Raw genomic sequence first — 19601 nt, 5'->3', positions numbered from 1 at the left:
GAGCTTGGATACAACTCCAGCCATGTGACCTTGGAAAGGTCTCAGGCCCGTGAGATAATACCAGAACCACCCTCACACAGGTAACTGTGGCCCAACAGGTAATACACAAAGCCAGCGTCTGGCATATAACTCAACATGAGTCAGCTATAAATGTGAGCAGACAATGGTGATACAGAGACCCAAACGCTGCAGTACACTGCCCTCCCTTGAAACTAATGCGTGGCTTTCACACATGGATACCTTAGGTAGCCAGTTTCACTGCGGTGCACAAAATAAACCTCTTTGACCATAACAACAAAAAAATCAAAACGTGATTGGTCTCACAGGGGAAAAAAAGGCATGTGAGTGAAGTGTGGGTGAGGAAACAAGGAGAAAATGCAGGCAGGGAAATGGAAAAAAAGAAAAGGATGCAGCCTGACCAACTGCTGACAAGCCAAGAGCTGAGCTTGGGGAGGAAGTAGAGGCAGGTCTCTGTGGGGACTCAGAGCTTAGTCTATCAAGAAGAGAGATGTGAGGGGTCAGTCATGTCCCTGAAGCCATCATGGTGAGGACCTGCCAGCCAGAAGACAGGGCCGCCAGTTATCTGGACACCAGCCAGAGCTGACACTCAGCTGCTTTAGCTGATTTTAGTACTGAGAAGCTGATATGTGTCTGTACATAAACAGTACACACAGAAGCCTCTTCCTTTTCTAAAAATACACGGGTCTGCAGTTCAGCACTGAGAAGGCCACCTAGAGCACATAACAAAGACAGTAACTGCGGATGTCTGGCCACCAGAAGGAAAAGCATTTCCTTTATCAGCAAAGGGCGTGAAGTCACCCTTTACCCCAGAGGCCTGACTCCATCTAGGGGAACTGCATGGCACAGAAGACCTCCATGATTTCAGAGAGCTGACCTGACTCCCACCTTGGACATTTGCTATTCTTAACTGCTCTGAGACTCAGCTTCCTCATCTGTGAAGCAGGGTGATAACAAATACCCACCCGGAAGCATTCTTCTAAGGATGAGAAATAATGAATGCAAACCACCTAGACACAGTTCCTGGTACAGAACAGACGATCAACACACAGTAGCTTGGTTCTTCCTAAAATCCCAGAGTCTTTGCTGCTCCCTCTCCTCTCATCCCTGAAATAACCCAACTGAGGAAGAGAAAGACTGATTTTCCCTGCTCTCGTAGCAGCCTCCCTCAAGAGCTGCAGCTCCTCAGGATATTCCTGGTGCTTGTTCTGGGCAGCAACACAGGCCAAGAAATCAGGAGTCTGCTCACTAGCGAACGGAGGAGAAGACGAAAAGGAAGTGCATCCCTCCAGTCCTCACAGAGGGCTCCTCCACACGTGCTGGTCTCAGTTAAGTTCAGCAGGCATCAGAGAGCAGGGGAGGAATAGCCTGCAAAACGGGGGCTACCATCCTACAATCAATTAAAAGAGTTCTTTTTTTTTTTTTTTTTGAGACGCAGTCTCACTCTGTTGTCCCAGCTGTAGTGCAGTGGTGTGATCTCGGCTCACTGCAACCTCCACCTCCCAGATTCAAGCGATTCTCTTGCCTCCGCCTCCCAAGTAGCTGGGATTATAGGAGCCCACCACCAGGCCCGGCTAATTTTTATATTGACAGGATGTCATCATGTTGACCAGGCTGGTCTCAAACTGCTGACCTCAGGTGATCCACCGCCTTGGCCTCCCAAACTGCTGGGATTACAGACGTGAGCCACTACGCCCAGCCTAAAAGAGTTCTTATTCTGGAGTTCTCAAAGAGCTCTAGAAGGTCCTGGCCCTGAACCCTCTGAAATTGAAAATGAATTTTGGGTAAAGAGGCTTTTTCTTGGGAAATTGTCCTGAACTTTCATCATATTTCAAAGTCTTTGACACTACCCTCAAAAAGAAAAAAAAAAAAGCTTTAAAACTGCTAACTCATTCATGGAAAACAAGAATGTCTGAGAAAGACTAATATAAAGCACTGGGCACTGTGGCTCACACCTGTAATCCCAGCACTCTGGGAGGCCGAGGCAGGCGGATCACCTGAGGTCAGGAGTTTGAGACCAGCCTGGTCGATATGGCGAAACCCCATCTCTACTAAAAATACAAAAATCAGCCAGGTGTGGTGGTGGGTACCTATAATCCCAGCTACTCAGGAGGCTGAGGCATGAGAATCGCTCAAACCCAGAAGTGGAGGTTGCAGTGAGCCGAGATCGTGCCACTACACTCTAGCCTGGGGAATAGAGCAAGACTCTGTCTCAAAAAAAAAAAAAAAAAACTCACTTTTAGCTCACATGTAATGATACTTGTCAAGTATCTTATTATATATTAACTCACTTAGTCCCCACAACAATGGAAGGAGACAGTTATCATCTCTAGATGAGGAAACCAAGGCTCAGGAGCACACCACTTCCCAAGACCCCATAACTAACAAATGGCAGAGCCAGGACTCAGCCCTAAGAATGCATGAAGCCAAAGCTCAGGCTCTTCATCACCATATCACAGTGTCACCTTCTGCAGATCAAGCCCCAGATTTTATAAACTAAAAGGAAAAGTGGAAGGAAAGAAGGTAGAGGTTATGAGAGATTGGTTAGAACCTGACTTATAATTCAATGCTTTTTCTACTATATCCACCGTGCCCCATGTCTTCATACAACTCATACTGAGAAATGTTTTAATCATCAAAAAAAAACACGCCATAAGGAAGTGTAGTGGTACCATAAAACCCTCAGCTTCCTTGCAGAAAAACAGGGATTATACGTCACTACTCCATAGGTATGTCACTGAGATTAAAAGGAGGCAAAATGTGCAAAGCACGTGGGTTTGCCTGGCATGTCTGGCACGGAGTAAGCACTCAATGAATGGTAGGCATCATTGTAATCATGACAATCTAGTGAAACAGCATGCCTTAGCAATCAAAGGTATCATCTTTATGTGGATGAACCCTACATTAGTTGCTTCAATGAGCCCATGTCCCTGCATCCCTGAACTCCACTCAGTGTCAGAAAGACACAGGCCTCAATTTGGCTCCCAGGAGTGATCACACTCTTTGCCTCAGCTGCATGCTTGGGAAGCAACAGCAGCAGCAGCCAGAGAGACTTGGGAGCATGCCTGGGTCCCAGAGCCAACTATCCAACATCATCTGAGGTGCCAAAAGGTCTTGGAAACCTCCAGTGTGATTACAGGGGGTAGGGAACATTCATGGCAAGCTTTTCCAGACATAGAAAGCAACCCAGAAAATAAGTATAAGAAGTTGCCAAAGGCGGGGTAGGTCCACCTCTGAGCCAGATATGCCAACAGAAGAAAAAGCCAGGGTATGGGGGAACAAAGGTTTGGGGGACCTTTGAATCACGTCCCCTACATCCCTACAAGAAGTCGATCTAACTGATGTGATTCTTCAAGGAGGATAATTTTCATGAGTTTGTCCCACAAGAATATACCATCACTAGTATAATCTCTGAAGTCTCCACACATAAGACAATTATTCACAGTAACAGCTGCCATTCATTTATTAAACAATTACGTTCTAAGCCTATTGCATATATTACCTCCTATAATCCTCCTCCAAATGAAATGTTGAGGGAATTTCCATTCTGATTTTACAAATGGGAAATTGGCCTCAGAAATGTTAAGTGCCTGCCCAAAGACATAGGGCTGATAGGTGACAAGACAGATTTCTAAATCCCATGCTCTACTACTACGCACTTTTAGATCAATTATTGGGTTTCACCTGTGGGACCTCTAGGCATGTTTTTCTCCTAGTCCTTCCCGACACACAGGGATGAACTTATTCTATTCTATCCTACTCCACAAGATTTCTTGTGCTGGGTGCTGAACCTAAGAATAAACTGCACTAACCAGAGGTTCTGCTATGCTTAGAAGCACACAAGACGGGGGCATAAATGACACAAAGTATGGGTGAGGTAGATATTAACAGGTAGAAGGAATGGAAGAAGCGGCCACAAACCTTCTGTCCCACAGACTACATACCCAGATAACTCCACACTCCTCTCTTTTCAAGAACAATTTCAAGAAACATGCCGCTTCAGAACACAAAAAAATTCTTGAAATGTTGGTGGAGGATCTAAAGAATAAGGAAAGGTGACCACAGAAGAATGCAGGGGAAATATCACTTGAAAAAAGCAAACATATAACACCCTGCAAGTGTTCTCCATTAAATTTCCCAAAGCGAATCATGACTTTGGAACCAACCCATTAACACAAATCAAAATAATCTGAACCAAATGTTCCCATTTAAAAGCCCTTTCCCCCTTGAAGGCTTGTACAAGGGAAAATGCACTCTCATATACCAGGCCACCATGCTTCAGTAATTACCACCAGACCTGGAGGTTTGCATGGCTCTTACCAAACAAGCAAAAGTCTATGAACCCCTAAACCAAGAGCAGAGCTCACAAGAGAGGTGGGGAGAGGTAGCCACAATGAACATGTGAAATTCTGCAACAGGACCTCCCTCTGAAAACAAAAATCTCTCTATGGATTTCTGTTCCTAGAAGTCATCCTTCCACACGACTCAGGCACTACTCTACTTTCCTTGTCTCTACCCTCTTCCGCCAGCCATCTACTTTGCTCCAGCCAGAGGGATGCGTTGCTTAGCAACTGCCCTCCAACAAAAGCAGGAGCCAAGATGAAGTCAGGCCTCTGACATCTCCTGCTCCCTTGCACTCATGGGACAAGCTTTCAGCAGAGCCAAGAAATCTACAGTTTCCATCAGACCTGGGGCTCGGAGGCTGAGGAGCTTTGCAGGGTTGCCCGCACTCAGTGTGACTAAACAGTCACCTCCAGCTAGGGTAAAGGATTCTTATTCAATGTGAAGGCTCCAAGGATTCAATACACTGCAGGAACCGCTGCATCCTCAGCTCCCACCCAATCTTTCCTTAATTACACCGTAAACGTAACGGCAATGATGTCCTGGATTTGTCCTAATATATCTTCCAGTCTAGGTGTTGGGCTTAGCACCGTGAGACTTGAAACCTGTGGCCACCTCCTCAGGGACAGATCTTGACACTTCATCTGACATTAGTCTTTCCCTATCACCCAGGATTTGTTTCTTTCCTAGTTGATGACTTACAGTGATTTGTGTCTCATTGCTTTCTTCTTTGTCTGCCTACATGAAGGTAGGAAGCCTGAATGCTGTTTTATCCCCAGACCCCCGAGGCTGATACAAAGAAGCCAGGCAATTAATCTTTATTGTATGGGTGGGGTAAGATGAGGAAAGGAAATCAAGCAGAGGTCCCTGGATATCCTTAAATGGTGAGACATAGATCATAATATTACTAATTTCCCTAAATAACCTGTTATAGATCCAGTTTTCATGAACTTATGAAATCTCCATCTTTTCACACTTTCCATCTCAAGGAAAACACATAAATTCCATGTGTTTACTGTCTGCTGTGTGAAAGTACTACTTCCTTTTATGTTCTTACATTACCGCTACTGAACCTTTCTTTGGAGGAGGAAGGCAAGAAAAAGAACTGGCAGAGTAGATATGGAAGGGTTGCTTAATCTAGCTTTTATTCTAGGATTCTGTGAACAAGTCCATGTTTGTTCCCTGACAATTTCATCTCAGCTTCTGGGTGGAGTACACACACCAGGACCTCAGAGAAGAGGCTAAGTGAAACTCCTCACATGGCTTTTCTGATGCCTCTACTGACCAACTAGGCTCAAATAAGACGATGACAACTACCACTTGCCATGGGCCCTCCCCATTCATTTACCTAGGAACCTTAGAAGCACAACTCTTAAACATTTTCTTGTTTACTGTCTGTCTTTTCCACATGACTTGAAGGTTCATAAGAGTAGAACCTTGGCTGTCTTGTTCACAAACCCCTAAGACATTTTAGGCCCTATTTAACAATAGTCAAAAAACAACAACAACAACAAAAACAGTGATTATGTACTGCCTAAGATTCTGGACAAAGACTAAGGATTTATTTCCTACTAAAAGAAAAAAATAACCAATGTATTATTCCTCCATGATGAGGTAAGGCTTTGCCAGACACTCCCCATCATATATTTACATAGTTCTGAATAAACACAGTTCAGGTTCCACCCAAAAACTGTTTAAGTTTAGCCTTTTTAACAACGGCAAATCCATAAATCACACTGACTATGAGGATAAAGGACCTCAAAAACTACCCAGTCCTTGAATGAACCTATTTAGCAACAGTAGAGTCAAAACGTGTGGCAGATTCTATATCTCAAAGATAGCCACACCCATACATCCCATCCCACATATTCTTCTTAATGACTAATGAGACACAGGCACTCCTCCACCAGGCAGTGGGGTCTATATTCCCTTGAACCTAGCTGGACCACTGCAACTGCCTCAACCAAAAGAACATGGGGAAAATAATACGCATAACTCCAGAGGCTAGCTCAGTCTCTCTCTCCCCTCCCCTCCCCTCCCCTCCCCTCCTCTCTCTCTCTCTGTCGCAACACAAAACTGGACAGCACACAAAATTTCCCCAAGGTCTCCAGTCTCTGAGCTCTTTGGACTTGAAGAAGCTGAGTCAAGCTCTTCGGCCAGCTGCCACTTTCTCCCTTAACCATCCATTTCATTTGCACAGAGAATGAAAATAAAAACTTTCCCTTTCGAACAAATTGTTTTTGCCAGCTTTCTCACTCTCAGGAAAGCCTCATTCCAGAACTTTTTTGGTTTTGAAAACCAGAATAGGGATTATTTTACCTATATGAGGTCTCTCTTTGGTCTACCTCAACAGACTAATATCAACCAAACCCAGAGGGGTATTCTTTTAATGAGAAAAATCCTTTAACTTTCAATATTTATTGAAAAAAATCTACTATCCCACATGGGTTTCAGCATCAGACACACAGAAGTTCAAGTATCGTCTCTGTCAACTGTTAGCTGGATGACCTTGGGCAAGTTATATGACCGCTCTGTACATTAGCTTCCTATATCTGTAAAAGAAATAAAAAAAAAAACCTTCAAAGGATTGTTATAACAATTAAATGGGGTTATTATAACTAACACTTGTAAAGTGCTTGCTATGTGCCAGGCACTCTTTAAGTGTCTGAAGGTGCTCAGATAACTCTGTGAAAATCAAATCTTAATTACAGCATAAGAACAGAGACTCAAACCCAGTAAACTCAAACGACTCATCTCAAACTCACTTTGTAAATGTATTTTGTATTACATCACAAAATAAATGTAAACTTATAAAATACATAAGAATCGTCTGAAATGTTTGTTAAAATGCAGATCCCTGGTTATACTCCAGAGATTTGAGTCATTAATCTAGGACGGAGTCCAGGAAGGTACTTTTTTTAACCACATCAACACTACTACTTCCCAGGTGATTTTAGTAAATCTTGCCCTAGAGATGCTGGTATACATATCTAGACCAAATAAGTCATGATGGCATAAAAAGACCATAAGCTAAGAGTCAGTGGTACGAGTTCTAGTCTCAGCTTTGTCCCTATCCAGTTCTACAGCTTTGACGTGGTCACTTAACTTTTCTGAGTCTGTTTCCTTGTCTGTATAATGAAAATTTCAGACTAGATAATTCCAAAGCTGTCTCTTTTTCCAAAGTTGATCCCACAACATGACTACTAGACACAAGTGCCTCAAACCAGCTTGTTCTGTGCATTTGTAGCAAACAAAATAAGAACAATAATATATAAGCCCCACTATATACAGGACACTCCAAGATGCTTACGAATTCATTTAATTATTTTTAATGGTCACAACCATCTTGAAATGTAGGCATTATTGTCCAAGATGATAAAAGCAAAACTCAGAGAAGTTCAACAACCTGTCTGAGGTGACACAGCCAATAAGCGTGGCTAAACCTAGATTCTATCCCAGGTTTACCTGACCTCATACCTGCATTAGTATATCATTATGCCTTTGGCCATCTCATTATAAAATTAACTTCCTTTGTATTTCTCTGTTCAATCAAAAGGTAAGAACAATGAAAGCTTGGCTATAAGGAGGAAGAAAAATGCAAAACCTATTTCCTTGTTAAGGTACCATACAAACATTACTACAGAATCAATCAATATTTTACCCTTAACTTTTTTTTTTTTTCTTTTAGATGGAGTCTCACTCTCTTGCCCAGGCTGGAGTGCAGTGGTGGGATCTCAGCTCACTGCAACCTTTGCCTCCTGGGTTCAAGCAATTCTCCTGCCTCAGCCTCCTGAGTAGCTGGGATTATAGGTGCCCACCCACTATGCCCAGCTAATTTTCGTATTTTTAGTAGACGGGGTTTCACCATGTTGGCCATGTTGGTCTCGAACCCCTGACCTCAGGTGATCCACCTGCCTCGGCTTCTCAAAGTGCCAGAACTACAGGCATGAGCCACTGCGCCCAGCCTACCCTCAACATGTCATACCTGCAAACACTCAGATTGCTATCTGCCAATATCCCTGCAGGGAAAAATGAAAGATCTGATTACTGTGAAATTATGTACATAAATAACTATTCTTTTCTTCTGCTTTCATCTGAAGCAATGTGAGGGGCAAAACTGTTTTGTATTGTTTGAGTTAGTCCTAAGAAAAGAGAATGAGCTGGAGTATAAATATATAACTATTCTACCAAGGCTGACGATCCAGAATCTCATAAACCATGATGCCCAAAAAGGAACAAGAAGAATCAGGGATCTTACGAAATACTCAATACTGATTTCACATTCAAAAGTATCTTCTACTGCAGGGAAAAGATAGGACTAGCTCACCCTTAAGCTCCGCAGCTGCACAAAGTACCAAAGGGCAAGTACAGGGCACAAGGCAGGAGAAGCAGGCACAACTGGCCACTGCAAGCCTAAAAACCAGGCCTTCTTATCATCGCCAAGTGAAGCTCAAGTGAGACGTGAGAGTAACAAGATACCAAGTTCGAATGACGTGTTCACTACGAGGAACCCAGGGTGGGTGGTAGAAGAGGAAAGCAGAAGTGAACACAAAGCACTAAGGCTGGTCAGAGGGAGAGGGTGAAAAAAAAAAACAGAATTTTGCCAAGATCTTTCTTCCCTTCCTTAATTCCTCTCATGGGAAGAACAGAACTTTCCAATAGAGTATCCTCCACTGAGCTTAGAGATACAATGGGAAACTTTCTCATGACGTCTACCCTTTTGTTTTCTCTTGCCAAGTAACTTAAAAGGAACCTAATCCCAGGCCTTCTTGCCTCCAAACTTCATTACTTCATCCCAAGAACTCAGAGGAAAAAATGGAAAGAGGATAAGGTGAAGAAAGAGTACTGACTACAGAAGTTCCAGATAATGAATTTTAGACAAAAACCGTTTTGGTTTCCAAATGCGTTCTGCGAGAGATTTAAAGGGTGCCTGAAGGACACATCAATGGGGTAAGTCACCCAGGAAAAAACAGGATTTGAAATATGAAAAACCTGAGCTCTGATCTCAGTACCACCTGGGCTACTTCCTCCCTACCTGACCTGAGGCAAGTTACATAATTGTCCTTCAGTTTCCATGTCTGGAAAGTAGGTACGATAATACCAATCTCATAAAACTGTTTTAAAGAATACATGAAATAATACCTGTAAAATGCCTAGTATGGTATCTGATCCAAAGGTTTTCTAAATTGGGAAGGGTGGCAATAACAACATGAACCATAAAGTCTTATTTATATTTGCAATTTCAAACTCCTTTGAACTACTCCATGGGGAGACTAAAACTGGGGTACCCTGCAATTCTATTCCAATCCTTACTCTTCTAAGTAACCCGGAGACAACTTCTGTGAAAACACAGGCCTCGAGATGTCTCAAAATACTCAGTGATGCCAAGGAAAACTATGGAAATTACTTCAGACTGAGTGCATGGGAGACTTCTTCTTACTTGAAGCCTCAAACAGAGAAATGAGAAGAGGTGGTCTAATTAGCATAGGTGGTCTAATTAGCCCAGGTAAAGGGCTTTGAGCTCCTGCCTTACAGAGTATCTTGAATTCTGGCATTGGGAAAAAGGAACATCTCTTTAAAGAGTAAGTTGTAAATGATTTATATGACTGGTTCATCACCGGGGAAAAAAGCTGTCAGGCTTTAAGGAAGCCAGCTCCTCTCTTCAGAGGGGAAGAATGAACCACAGATTAAGTGAAAAGCCAAAACCCCAGAGAGATCATTAACTGAGTGAAGCAGCAACTTGGCATCACCAGTTCAGAGCCCCTGCCCAGGATGCCTGGACCCAGAATTAAACATTAGAGGAGGGAAGTGGGTTGATGATATCTTACTTTTGCTCTCCAAGAATCCAGACACCAAGTCAATGTACGTGAAGATTCCATTCCCAAGAACCAAGAAAGGGTACCAATGCCCTGGATTCAGATGCCCTGGCCTGGGTTTAAATCCTGGCTCTGCCATTTACTAACTCTGTGAATTGCTTCAACTCTGCGTACCTGAATTTCCTAATATATAAAATGGGTGTAATACTAAAACTAATCTTAGAGGGTTTTGTGATGATTTGATTGTACAAGTTAATAACACAAATAGAATCTAATTGAGATCACTGTAAGAGCTAAATTAAATGAAAATTATTATTATCCATCTCTTGGTGTTGGTGGCTAACCACTATTGGGTTTTTATTATGTATCATGTGCTAACCATGGGTTACCTAATTTCATTCCCCACAAACCCTGTGAGACAATGTGTGAAAAGTACTAAGCTCAGGGAACTCCATGAACATAGAAAATGCTCAATAAAAAGGATCCACTCCTTGCTATTATCATTACCAAATCACGAAATCACCAAATCAAATCCAAAACACCATTTCCCTCCATTTTGAAAAGACACCTGGGTAAAAGACAAGTCAAAGAAATTGTGAGACTTAACCACCCTATAAGCATCTATCTGGGTAATATGTCAGTTGGATGTTTTTGATGAATCAGAGACTCTTCTTGTATCAAATAGACTTGATATTACCTTGACTATTTCACTTTGATAAAGATTGCAAGACCCAGGAGTTAAATGAATGGGGCCACCTGAATACTCTCTTACACGGGGTATCTAGAACCAGAAGAAAAAGAAGACATCTCTATACCATAAATTCTATCTCTGATGGGTTAAGGTACAAATGTGCTTTGAAGAACAGCCATTCCAAGTCCAGAAATGTTTTCATGTTGTTAAAGCATTAACTTCAAATCACTTCATGAGATAAACAGAGGCTATTTCAAACAATGAAAGAAACATCAAGAAAAAGAAAATGATTTAGTACAGATCAAACTTGATTTACCAAAGAAAAGCAATCCTTAAAAGCTCTCCTATTTCTGATCTAATCCTCTTCTATCAGATGGAGACAATACATCCCCTACTAGCCCCAGGCATCCTGGCTCTGTCAACTGACAGTGTTCACACGTGAACCAGGTGGAACAGAGTCTCAGTATTATAGAGCTCTGTATTAACAATAAACTTGGTCTACACAGGATCATAGCACTCTTTGGGTGATATGGTAGATTGCTAATGGCCACGCACCTTTAATGCATGTTCCTTTGCAACGTGACTTTGCCATTCCTCCCATTCAGAGTTGGAGGCAGTTTCTCCACTCTCTGGATTCTGTGATACAGTTGGATCCCTTGTGACTTGTTTTGGCCAACAGAATGTGGCAGAAGTGAGGCCATGCAAATTCCAAAGCCTAGGCCTCAAGAGGCCCGGAGCTTCCACCTTTGTCCTTTTGGAAAGCTGCCCTGAAGCTGCCAGAGCATGTAGATGCCCAGGATGAAAGACTACATGGGGAGGGGCCCTGTGGTCCCCGCCCTGAATGTAGCTGCACAAGTGAGCCCAGAAGAGGACAACAGAACCACCCAGTCAATCCACTGAGTCACAAGAAATAAACACTATTGTCATCTTTGGTCTCAAAGGCTTGGGAAGATTTGTTATACCATAATAGATAAAGGATACAGGTAGATTAGCTAGGGCTTTTGAATTTAATTTTTAAAATAAGTTTCCAAAATGATTAAAAACTTTTCTTAAACTCAACAGGAGGCAAAATCCAAGTTGCTGGAACTCAGGAAGAATGGTTGCTCTAGGAGAAGAGGGAAAGGCTAGAGATGAGATGGAGCTTTCCAGGATGCTAATCATTTTTATTGCTTGGCCTGGGTTGCCATTACATAAGTGTATTCACTGTGTGATAATTTATCAAGCTCTGCATTTCTGAGCTGTGTACTTTTCTGGATACATGCTAAGCTTACATTTAAATAGTTTAAAATAAGCCTTTCTTGGCAAATCTCTTTGAGAAATAGGGGTATGTGGCTAAGGAAATAAATTATCATGCTCATAATTTTTTGTCCACTAATCAAAATTTCCTCAAGAAGCACCCCGATATAACATACACAAATCTAGTTTAAAACTGAACATGGCTTATTAAATATGAGTATGTTTCTTTCTTGCCAAAAGCATGACTGTCCCACTTATGAGTCTAAAGATGGCCCCGAAATCCCAGAAAATTTACCAACGCCAAGGTCAAGATATTTCCAAGTGGTAGTTTGAAATTTTTGTGTTGTTTCAGAAAGACGAGGTAAATTACTTACAAAGTAAAAGGTCCTCACAGCTCCCACACTTCTGGGTATGCCTCTCTTGGTAGATTACACAGACTCTGTAGGGGTAGTGGCCACATCTCATTCTCCTCTCACTGTCCCCAGGCCTCCGCCCCTAATGCCAAAGCCAAACATGACCCTTGCTCACACAGAAAGAGCGCAAATATCAGCGGTAGGTAGGATGTCCCCAAAGCCCTTAAAAATGCTTGTGCCCTTTGACCAAGTAATTCCACTTCAAGGAGTCTGTTTGAAGGAAATTAAATGGGGGAAAAAAGTACATACAAAAATGTCCATCATATTCTTTAAAATAGTTTAAAAAAAACTTAAAAAGGAAACACTCTAAATGTTTAAAGTTAAGAGGTAAGAAAATTATCTTATATCCATAAAACAGAAACAGTACACATTTAAAAGTACATGAACATGTTTTTTAAAAAATATTTTTTAAAAAAGGAATAAAAGGGCCAGGCACAGTGGCTCATGCCTGTAATCCTAGCACTTTGGGAGGCTGAGGCAGGCAGATCACCTGAGGCCAGGAGTTTGAGACCAGCCTGGTCAACATGGTGAAATGCCATCTCTACTAAAAAAAAAAAAAAAAAAAATTAGCCGGGTGTGGTGGTGGGTGCCTGTAGTCCCAGCTACTCGGGAGGCTGAGGCAGGAAAATTGCTTGAACCTGGGAGGCAAACTGCAGTGAGCAGAGATCATGCCATTGCATTCCAGCCTGGGCAACAAAAGTGAAACTCCACCTCAAAAACAAAAAAAAAGAAATAAAAGTTCTCTGTGGTAAGATTATGAGTGTATTTCATCCTACTGCTTTACAAATTTTCCATATTATACTTTTCAAATATTCTACAGATACAGGTAGTTTTCACTTCTTTTATAATCAAAAAAAATTTTTAAGTAAAAAACTAGAAAAAAACTGAACTGTGTTGAGCTGAAAGATAATTAATATTATAATCTATTCCTTACATTGCTTGCCTAGCTCATCATTTCAGCTATACCCGTGTCTTAAGCATCTGAGCAGATTCAACTCCCACTGAATCATTTCTCTTTCTTTCCTTCTAAGATATAAGCTCTTCATGATCTTTGTAAACTCAATGCCCAACACAGTGTCTTGCTCTTACATTTTGACCAAAAGCTGCAAGACATCAGGGCAAGGACAGAGGGACTTACCTAAACTGCATAACATCAGGGGGCCACGCTTCCCTAGATGTCCTGTGCCAGGCACACAAAAGACCTGAAATAAGTGTTTGTTATTTGTATTAGTCAGCTTGAGCTGCCATAAGAAAAAGAACTTTATTTTCTCACAGTTCTGGAGGCTGGAAGACAAGATGAGGGTGCCAGCAAGGTCAGGTCCTGCTGCAGGCTCTCCTCCTGGCTTGCCTTCCGGCTCTACACTCACATGACCTCTTCTTTGTGCATGTGTGCAGAGAGAGAGAGAGAGCCTGCTCTCGGTTGTCTCTTTTTATAAGGACACTAATCCTATCATATCAGGGCCTCACCCATATAACCCCATTTAACTGTACTTAATTACCTCTTTATAGGCCCTATCTCCAAGTAGTTATATTGGGAGTTAGGGCTTCAACATACAAATTTTGGCAGGGGACACAATTCAGTCCATAGCATTTATTAGAGGGAAACAGATAACACTTCACTCACCAGGGGACCACTAAGTTGACATCAAAAATAGACTATTATCTGTGACCATCTGAACAACAGCATCCCTTGTGTCCACTGACAGGGTATACCAAAGGACATGTGTACAGTTTTGGTATGTCTTCATAATAGACAACAGGGAGCCAAGGGAAGATTTGGGGGTGGATATGATATGGCCAAACCTGTGCTTTAGGAGGAGTAATGGGGCGGCAGTAAATCTGATGCAAACAGAGACACACAGGAGGTGAGAAGCCATTGCAAGAGTCAGTCAAGCGGCTATGTAGGTAGCTATGTTGCAAGGAGCAGAGAGAGAAAGGAAAAAGCAAATGCAAGAAGGAATCATCAAGGTTGAATCCATGAGAAATTGCTACCCACTGGATAATGGGAGATAGAAAAAGCAGCAAAGTGTTAAGGTAAAGGGAGGAGGTGGTAAGAGAAGGGCTTCACCATCCAAAGACCCAGGGATGGGTGGCAGAGGGTGGGGGCTGCAGGTTGGGAGAGGGAGGAGGAGGAGGAGGGTTTGGAGGAGGAAGAGATACTTTGGAGAAGGGAGGGGAGGGTGGCTTGCGTTTGAGACATGTTGGATCTGAGCTGACATGAAACAACATCAAGGCAGAGGTAATTAGGCATGCAGTTGGAAATGGATGTATGGAACCCTAGAAATCAAGCCAGGGGTGAACATCTGAATTTCATCCACAGACGTAAATCAGACGGCTGATAAAACCTAAATGAACTGAGCACAGAAACTCAGAGATTGTCTTCTGTGGACAACAAGGAGAAAAAAGGAGACCAAAGAGCAAAGGAAAGGAGATGAGGAAAGGCCAGGGGGTGGGAGAAAATCAGAATAACACAGTGCCACAAAACCCAGAGAAGAACTGTTTCCAGGATGGACAGAGTGTTCAGCACCTGAACGAGGCAGAGAGATATCAAATGACTGAGCACAGAGTATTGGGATCTGGCTCCATCGTGATCAGTGGAATCCCTGAGAGAACCAACTCAACAGGGTGGAGACAGCAAATCAGGGAACCACAGAAAGCAAGAAAGAAACAGACACTAACAGGCTGAGGACCTATGTGCATGCCAGGCATTGTGATCGGAATTTCACATGGATTATCATCTTTAGTCCCCACAAACACTCCTACAGGGTAGGTGCTATTATAATTTGTATTCAGAGCATTTTGTGTAAAACTTAATAATGAAAGGAGCTCATCTGCAAGGTCATATTTGCCTGTCTGAAAAAACATACCTCTCATACATATTTTCACGTAGCTATGGAGATTTGAGAGCAGGCATGTAAGTGGAATCAGATATCAAGGAAAATGATACAAACTGAGAGAGGGGGATACGGCGCAGTCTGGCTGAGTGACTAATCACAATGGCCAAAGTATTTACAATGGCAAAGAGATGAACTTGACTCCCAGAGGCTACATATTTTGTGTGTGTATCTGTCTGTCTGTCTCTCCCACAAGAACTGCTTGGGAGAAAAAATACAAAACCATGCTAGTCTGGTCATTTTGCCCCAGTGAAAATTGATACTATCGGTAACATTTTTTGAAGACCGGTATTTTTTATCCACCTGCACAGCTATATTAATTAAAGAGTGCATTGATCAGATCATTAATTTTAAAAGTCAAGTCTTCACTCAGAGGTCATCACAATTATGGAAAAACAGACTGACTGCCATAACGTACTGTCAGAAACATCCCAAACCTGTGGAAATGTAACACAAACGGAAAAATCCTTCACTTCCCCTTCCTACCCTCCACCGCAACTTATTATCACCACAAAATAATTTTTAATCATTGCCATAGTCACTCTCAATTGCACTAATTAGAAGATATATAAATCACCTTACTTTTCTCAGCCAGGTATTTAATCCATACTTGATAGTAATGAGCTATTTTATTAGAACTGTTCAAAAACAAATGCTAGCAATCCTGAGCATGCAAGAAACCTGAATAATAGCACTCCATTTGGATTTACAAACCCACAAATCTGTGGATGCTACTTGACATTTATTGAACATGAATAACATCCCCACGTGCTATGTTCCTGAGGCTTGGCCAACATTCTAGGGAAATGACTTAACTCACACCAATAAACTTGAAAAGGTTCACCCTGGGCCAATATTTCCTCACACCAATTGCCCCTTCCTACTATTCTCATCAGGTCGAAAACATCCACCATTTAGCCCTCCCCAAAGTAATAATGGTATAAAGGCCTGAGCTTAAACCTAACCTCTGCCACTTCCTAGCTGTGGGAAGACAGCAGTGGGAACAATGACCATGCTCTGAATCAGCTCATCCCCTGCATGCTGAGAATGACACCATCCTCAGTGTCATGAGTGGAAAACATTAGGCCAATATGGTGGACAGTAAGGGGCAGTGGAGACAGCCAGACACACCTGGGCACACACTCCTTGTTCACCATTACCTGCTTGACCAGGTGACACTGGGTAAGTTCATTTCCTTTAGCTTTTCTACTCTCTCTAATTACACATATAATTTTAGCCAATTAGCCTTGAAATTCTTGGTTTGTTTTAATCCAGTGCGGCAAGCAGGCCACAGAGATAAATACCAATTATATCACACTGCACCTCACCCTCTCCACAATGGTGATGTGAGGTGCCCTCTGCTCTGCAGATCTCTAGCTTTTTGAAGTTATTAATGGTGAGAATTGTAACAACTATTCACAGAACTGTTCTTTCTTGCTAATTTGGGTGGAAAAGAAGGTGATCTCACTCTTATCATGATCTACTAAGGGGGAAAAGGCCACTGGAAAATGAGGTTCATTCCTATTGACAAAAGTTTCAAAGAGACCTGTGTGACACATACATGGGGTGGCCAGATCCAAACAGACGGTTTCGAGAAAGGGGGCACTGTTAATAATCATGCTGAGATAGCAGGTGTGACCTAGGACATTTGGTCAACCTGGTTGGGTCCTGCACAGAGAATATGATGGTATACAGCATTCTCTCTCCCTTTACCAAGTGTCAACCTCAGAAATCTAGAGGACAGAAAGGTTACAGAAATCTCAAAGCCTCCTCTCCTTATCACCACCAGCCTTTCCCTGACTCAACAGAAGCACATGCCTAACCAGCACTTACTAACCTATTTAATCAAGCTGTGCCTTTCTTTTGAACACAGTGGCTAACTTCCAATAACACACCAGTAGTGAAGATCATGAGCACACAGAAACACTTTAACAGGTGAAACAGATACGCAGGCCTTCTAGCTGCTTTGGACTGAGGACAGGGTCAGGCTGCTGGAGGAAGGCGGGGACCTGGTGTGTGTCAGAATCACCTAGCACACCAAACCCGTCTTGCTAGAGGAGGCAAAAACCAGATTTGGGCCACTCTACAGATGGGCCAGGTGGCAACTCTCCCTGAGCATGCGGAGAGAGTTGCCAACCCCTCAAAATATAGAGACAATCCCCTACATGACAAGCCCTTGCCAAACCAGACTACCCCAGTCACAGCAACCGTCCATCACCAGTACCCTGCACATGGTTGATGCCTCATGGGGGCAAAACCTTTCTTCTTAAATTATTCCAAAGACACACAGTATTTTAGTTACAACTAATTGTCAGGAAAATGAAAGCAACCCCATGTGAAGGCAAAAACCTTAGGGGGAAAAGAATAATGTATGCTTGTTAATTTCCTTCTCCATGTTTTTCTTTTAAATTTCATTTTCCCAACCATTTTAGAATTGACCAGGAAAGATCCTAGTTTACCACCTACATGTTGGGCTTAAAAGAAATAAAAAAAACTTAAGTCATAATGACTCATTTTGTGGTGCATATGCTGTAAACCTACCAAGAAAAGAAGGGAAACTGCACGGGTAAAAGTGGAATCGTACAGAGTGCAGGAATAATCTTTCAGCTACAGTGCACTCAAAATCTTTTCCATAAGAAAGGGTGGAGATGTCAAAGAGGACAACACTCGTAATTTTTAACAGATACTTCATCCCCTGAGTATTGTTGTTATTTCATACAATCTGCCAGCGGCTCCCAGGGAGGTCCAGGTTGAGGGCCTGATAAGGAAACAATTCCTACCTGTAGAGGAAACTTGATCCAGGGAAACTCACAAAGCAAAGCATCCATTCCCTCTGAATAGCGTGCGTAACTATTCCCAGAATGAACCATCTACTAGTCCTACTTCAATACTTGGAAGACCAAGAAAAGCCAAGGGAACAAAGACCAGGAAGAAGTGCTGAAAAGGGCTACAGCATAAACAACAGTATTTAAAAAATAAAAGCAGTATCTACACTTCCCGGATGCCAGGAGAATCATTAGCTAGTAACGGCTGACGTTTATTGAGCATTTACATGTGCCAGACACTGTTTGAAACACTAAGGGTATGTGCATTAAGCTAATTCCCCCAACAATCCTGACAGGTAGGTCCTTTTTTCCTCATTTTGGAGATGAGAAACCTAAAGCAGCTTCTAGACTTGGGTCACCAGAGGGTAAGCAGCAGAGCCAGGAACAGACTCCCACATTAACTCAATAGCCCACGCCATTGACCTCTGTAAGTATCCCTTCATTATCTGTCACCTGGCTGGTGAATGAGGCAGTAAGGACTAAACCCCAGGTCATCCTGGCCCTAAAGCCCATGCTCTTAACCTACACTCTACATAGTTACCTAAACACTCACTGGTCATGTTGCCCCAACCTCAACCTCCACCACCAGCACCACAAATTCTACAACCATTAATAATAAAGGGCATCATTTATGCAGGGCTTTCTGTGCCAAGACAAGAAAACTTTAGCTTGGAGGCATTAAGCTGACTCAGCTCCCAAACTAATATGCAGTGGAGCCAGGACCTGAGCCCACGTTCAGGAGACTCCTGCGCCCAAGCTCTCAATCCCTCCTGCAGATGCCACAGTTGTAGTAAGACCATGACCACAGGACACAGGGCCATGCCACAACCAACCATGGAGGCCAGCCAACACCAGAGGTGGCTTTAACAGTCACTGACTCATTCCTCAGGTCTCACCAAGCAACTTCCGGCTTTTCATTAGAAAAAAAATAGGGTAGAAAAAAAATAGGATTTAAAAAAAAAAACAGAAGCTCAGTTTCCCCATTCACAGGAGATGAAAAACAGCCAACCCAAAGGAAATGAGAGGCACTTAGTGACAATCTCAGTGGCCACAGGTGAGGTGACAAGTGACACAAAGAAAGAAAATGAAAACCTGAAAGTACAGACTCAAAATTATATCAATGAAGCACATAATGACAGGTCTGAGTCACCCAGAAAAATGTTGGCTTTTGCTCAAGCTTCCTCTGTTTTTAAAAGCAGGGAAATGCCTAACTTGGAGGCCAGGTTTTTATCAAGTATTTAAAAGTTTTCAAGTCTTGGCATTTGAAATAGTAGCAGGTGGGAGGGCTTGGTGGAGATAGGCACAGAGGACAGCAGACTGACCTGGGCTTTAAGGCTGAAAACTAGATCGCACCTGGTGATGGGGCC

At 42.6% G+C, this 19601-nt stretch overlaps 1 protein-coding gene across 40 annotated transcripts in view; it reads right to left on the bottom strand.

Annotated features, from left to right (window-relative positions):
* ARHGAP26 (Rho GTPase activating protein 26) overlaps nt 1-19601 on the bottom strand; it is a 458635-nt gene that overhangs the window by 382710 nt on the left and 56324 nt on the right. The window contains exon 1 of one of the 40 annotated variants that reach the window (XM_047416974.1): nt 12477-12855. The exons of 35 other annotated variants lie outside the window; for them this stretch is intronic. In XM_047416974.1, coding sequence (XP_047272930.1) covers nt 12477-12567 — 91 coding nt within the window. In that variant the 5' untranslated portion in view covers nt 12568-12855. Of the gene's footprint in view, nt 1-12476; nt 12856-19601 lie in introns of those variants that run through there. 4 more of the 40 variants (XM_047416975.1, XM_047416980.1, XM_047416988.1 and 1 more) reach the window with 4 other exon arrangements.

Source organism: Homo sapiens, chromosome 5 (assembly GCF_000001405.40).
Source record: "Homo sapiens chromosome 5, GRCh38.p14 Primary Assembly".
Lineage (NCBI taxonomy): Eukaryota > Metazoa > Chordata > Mammalia > Primates > Hominidae > Homo > Homo sapiens.
Note: the sequence above shows the minus strand (reverse complement) of the source record. Positions and strands in the feature narration are given on the sequence as shown.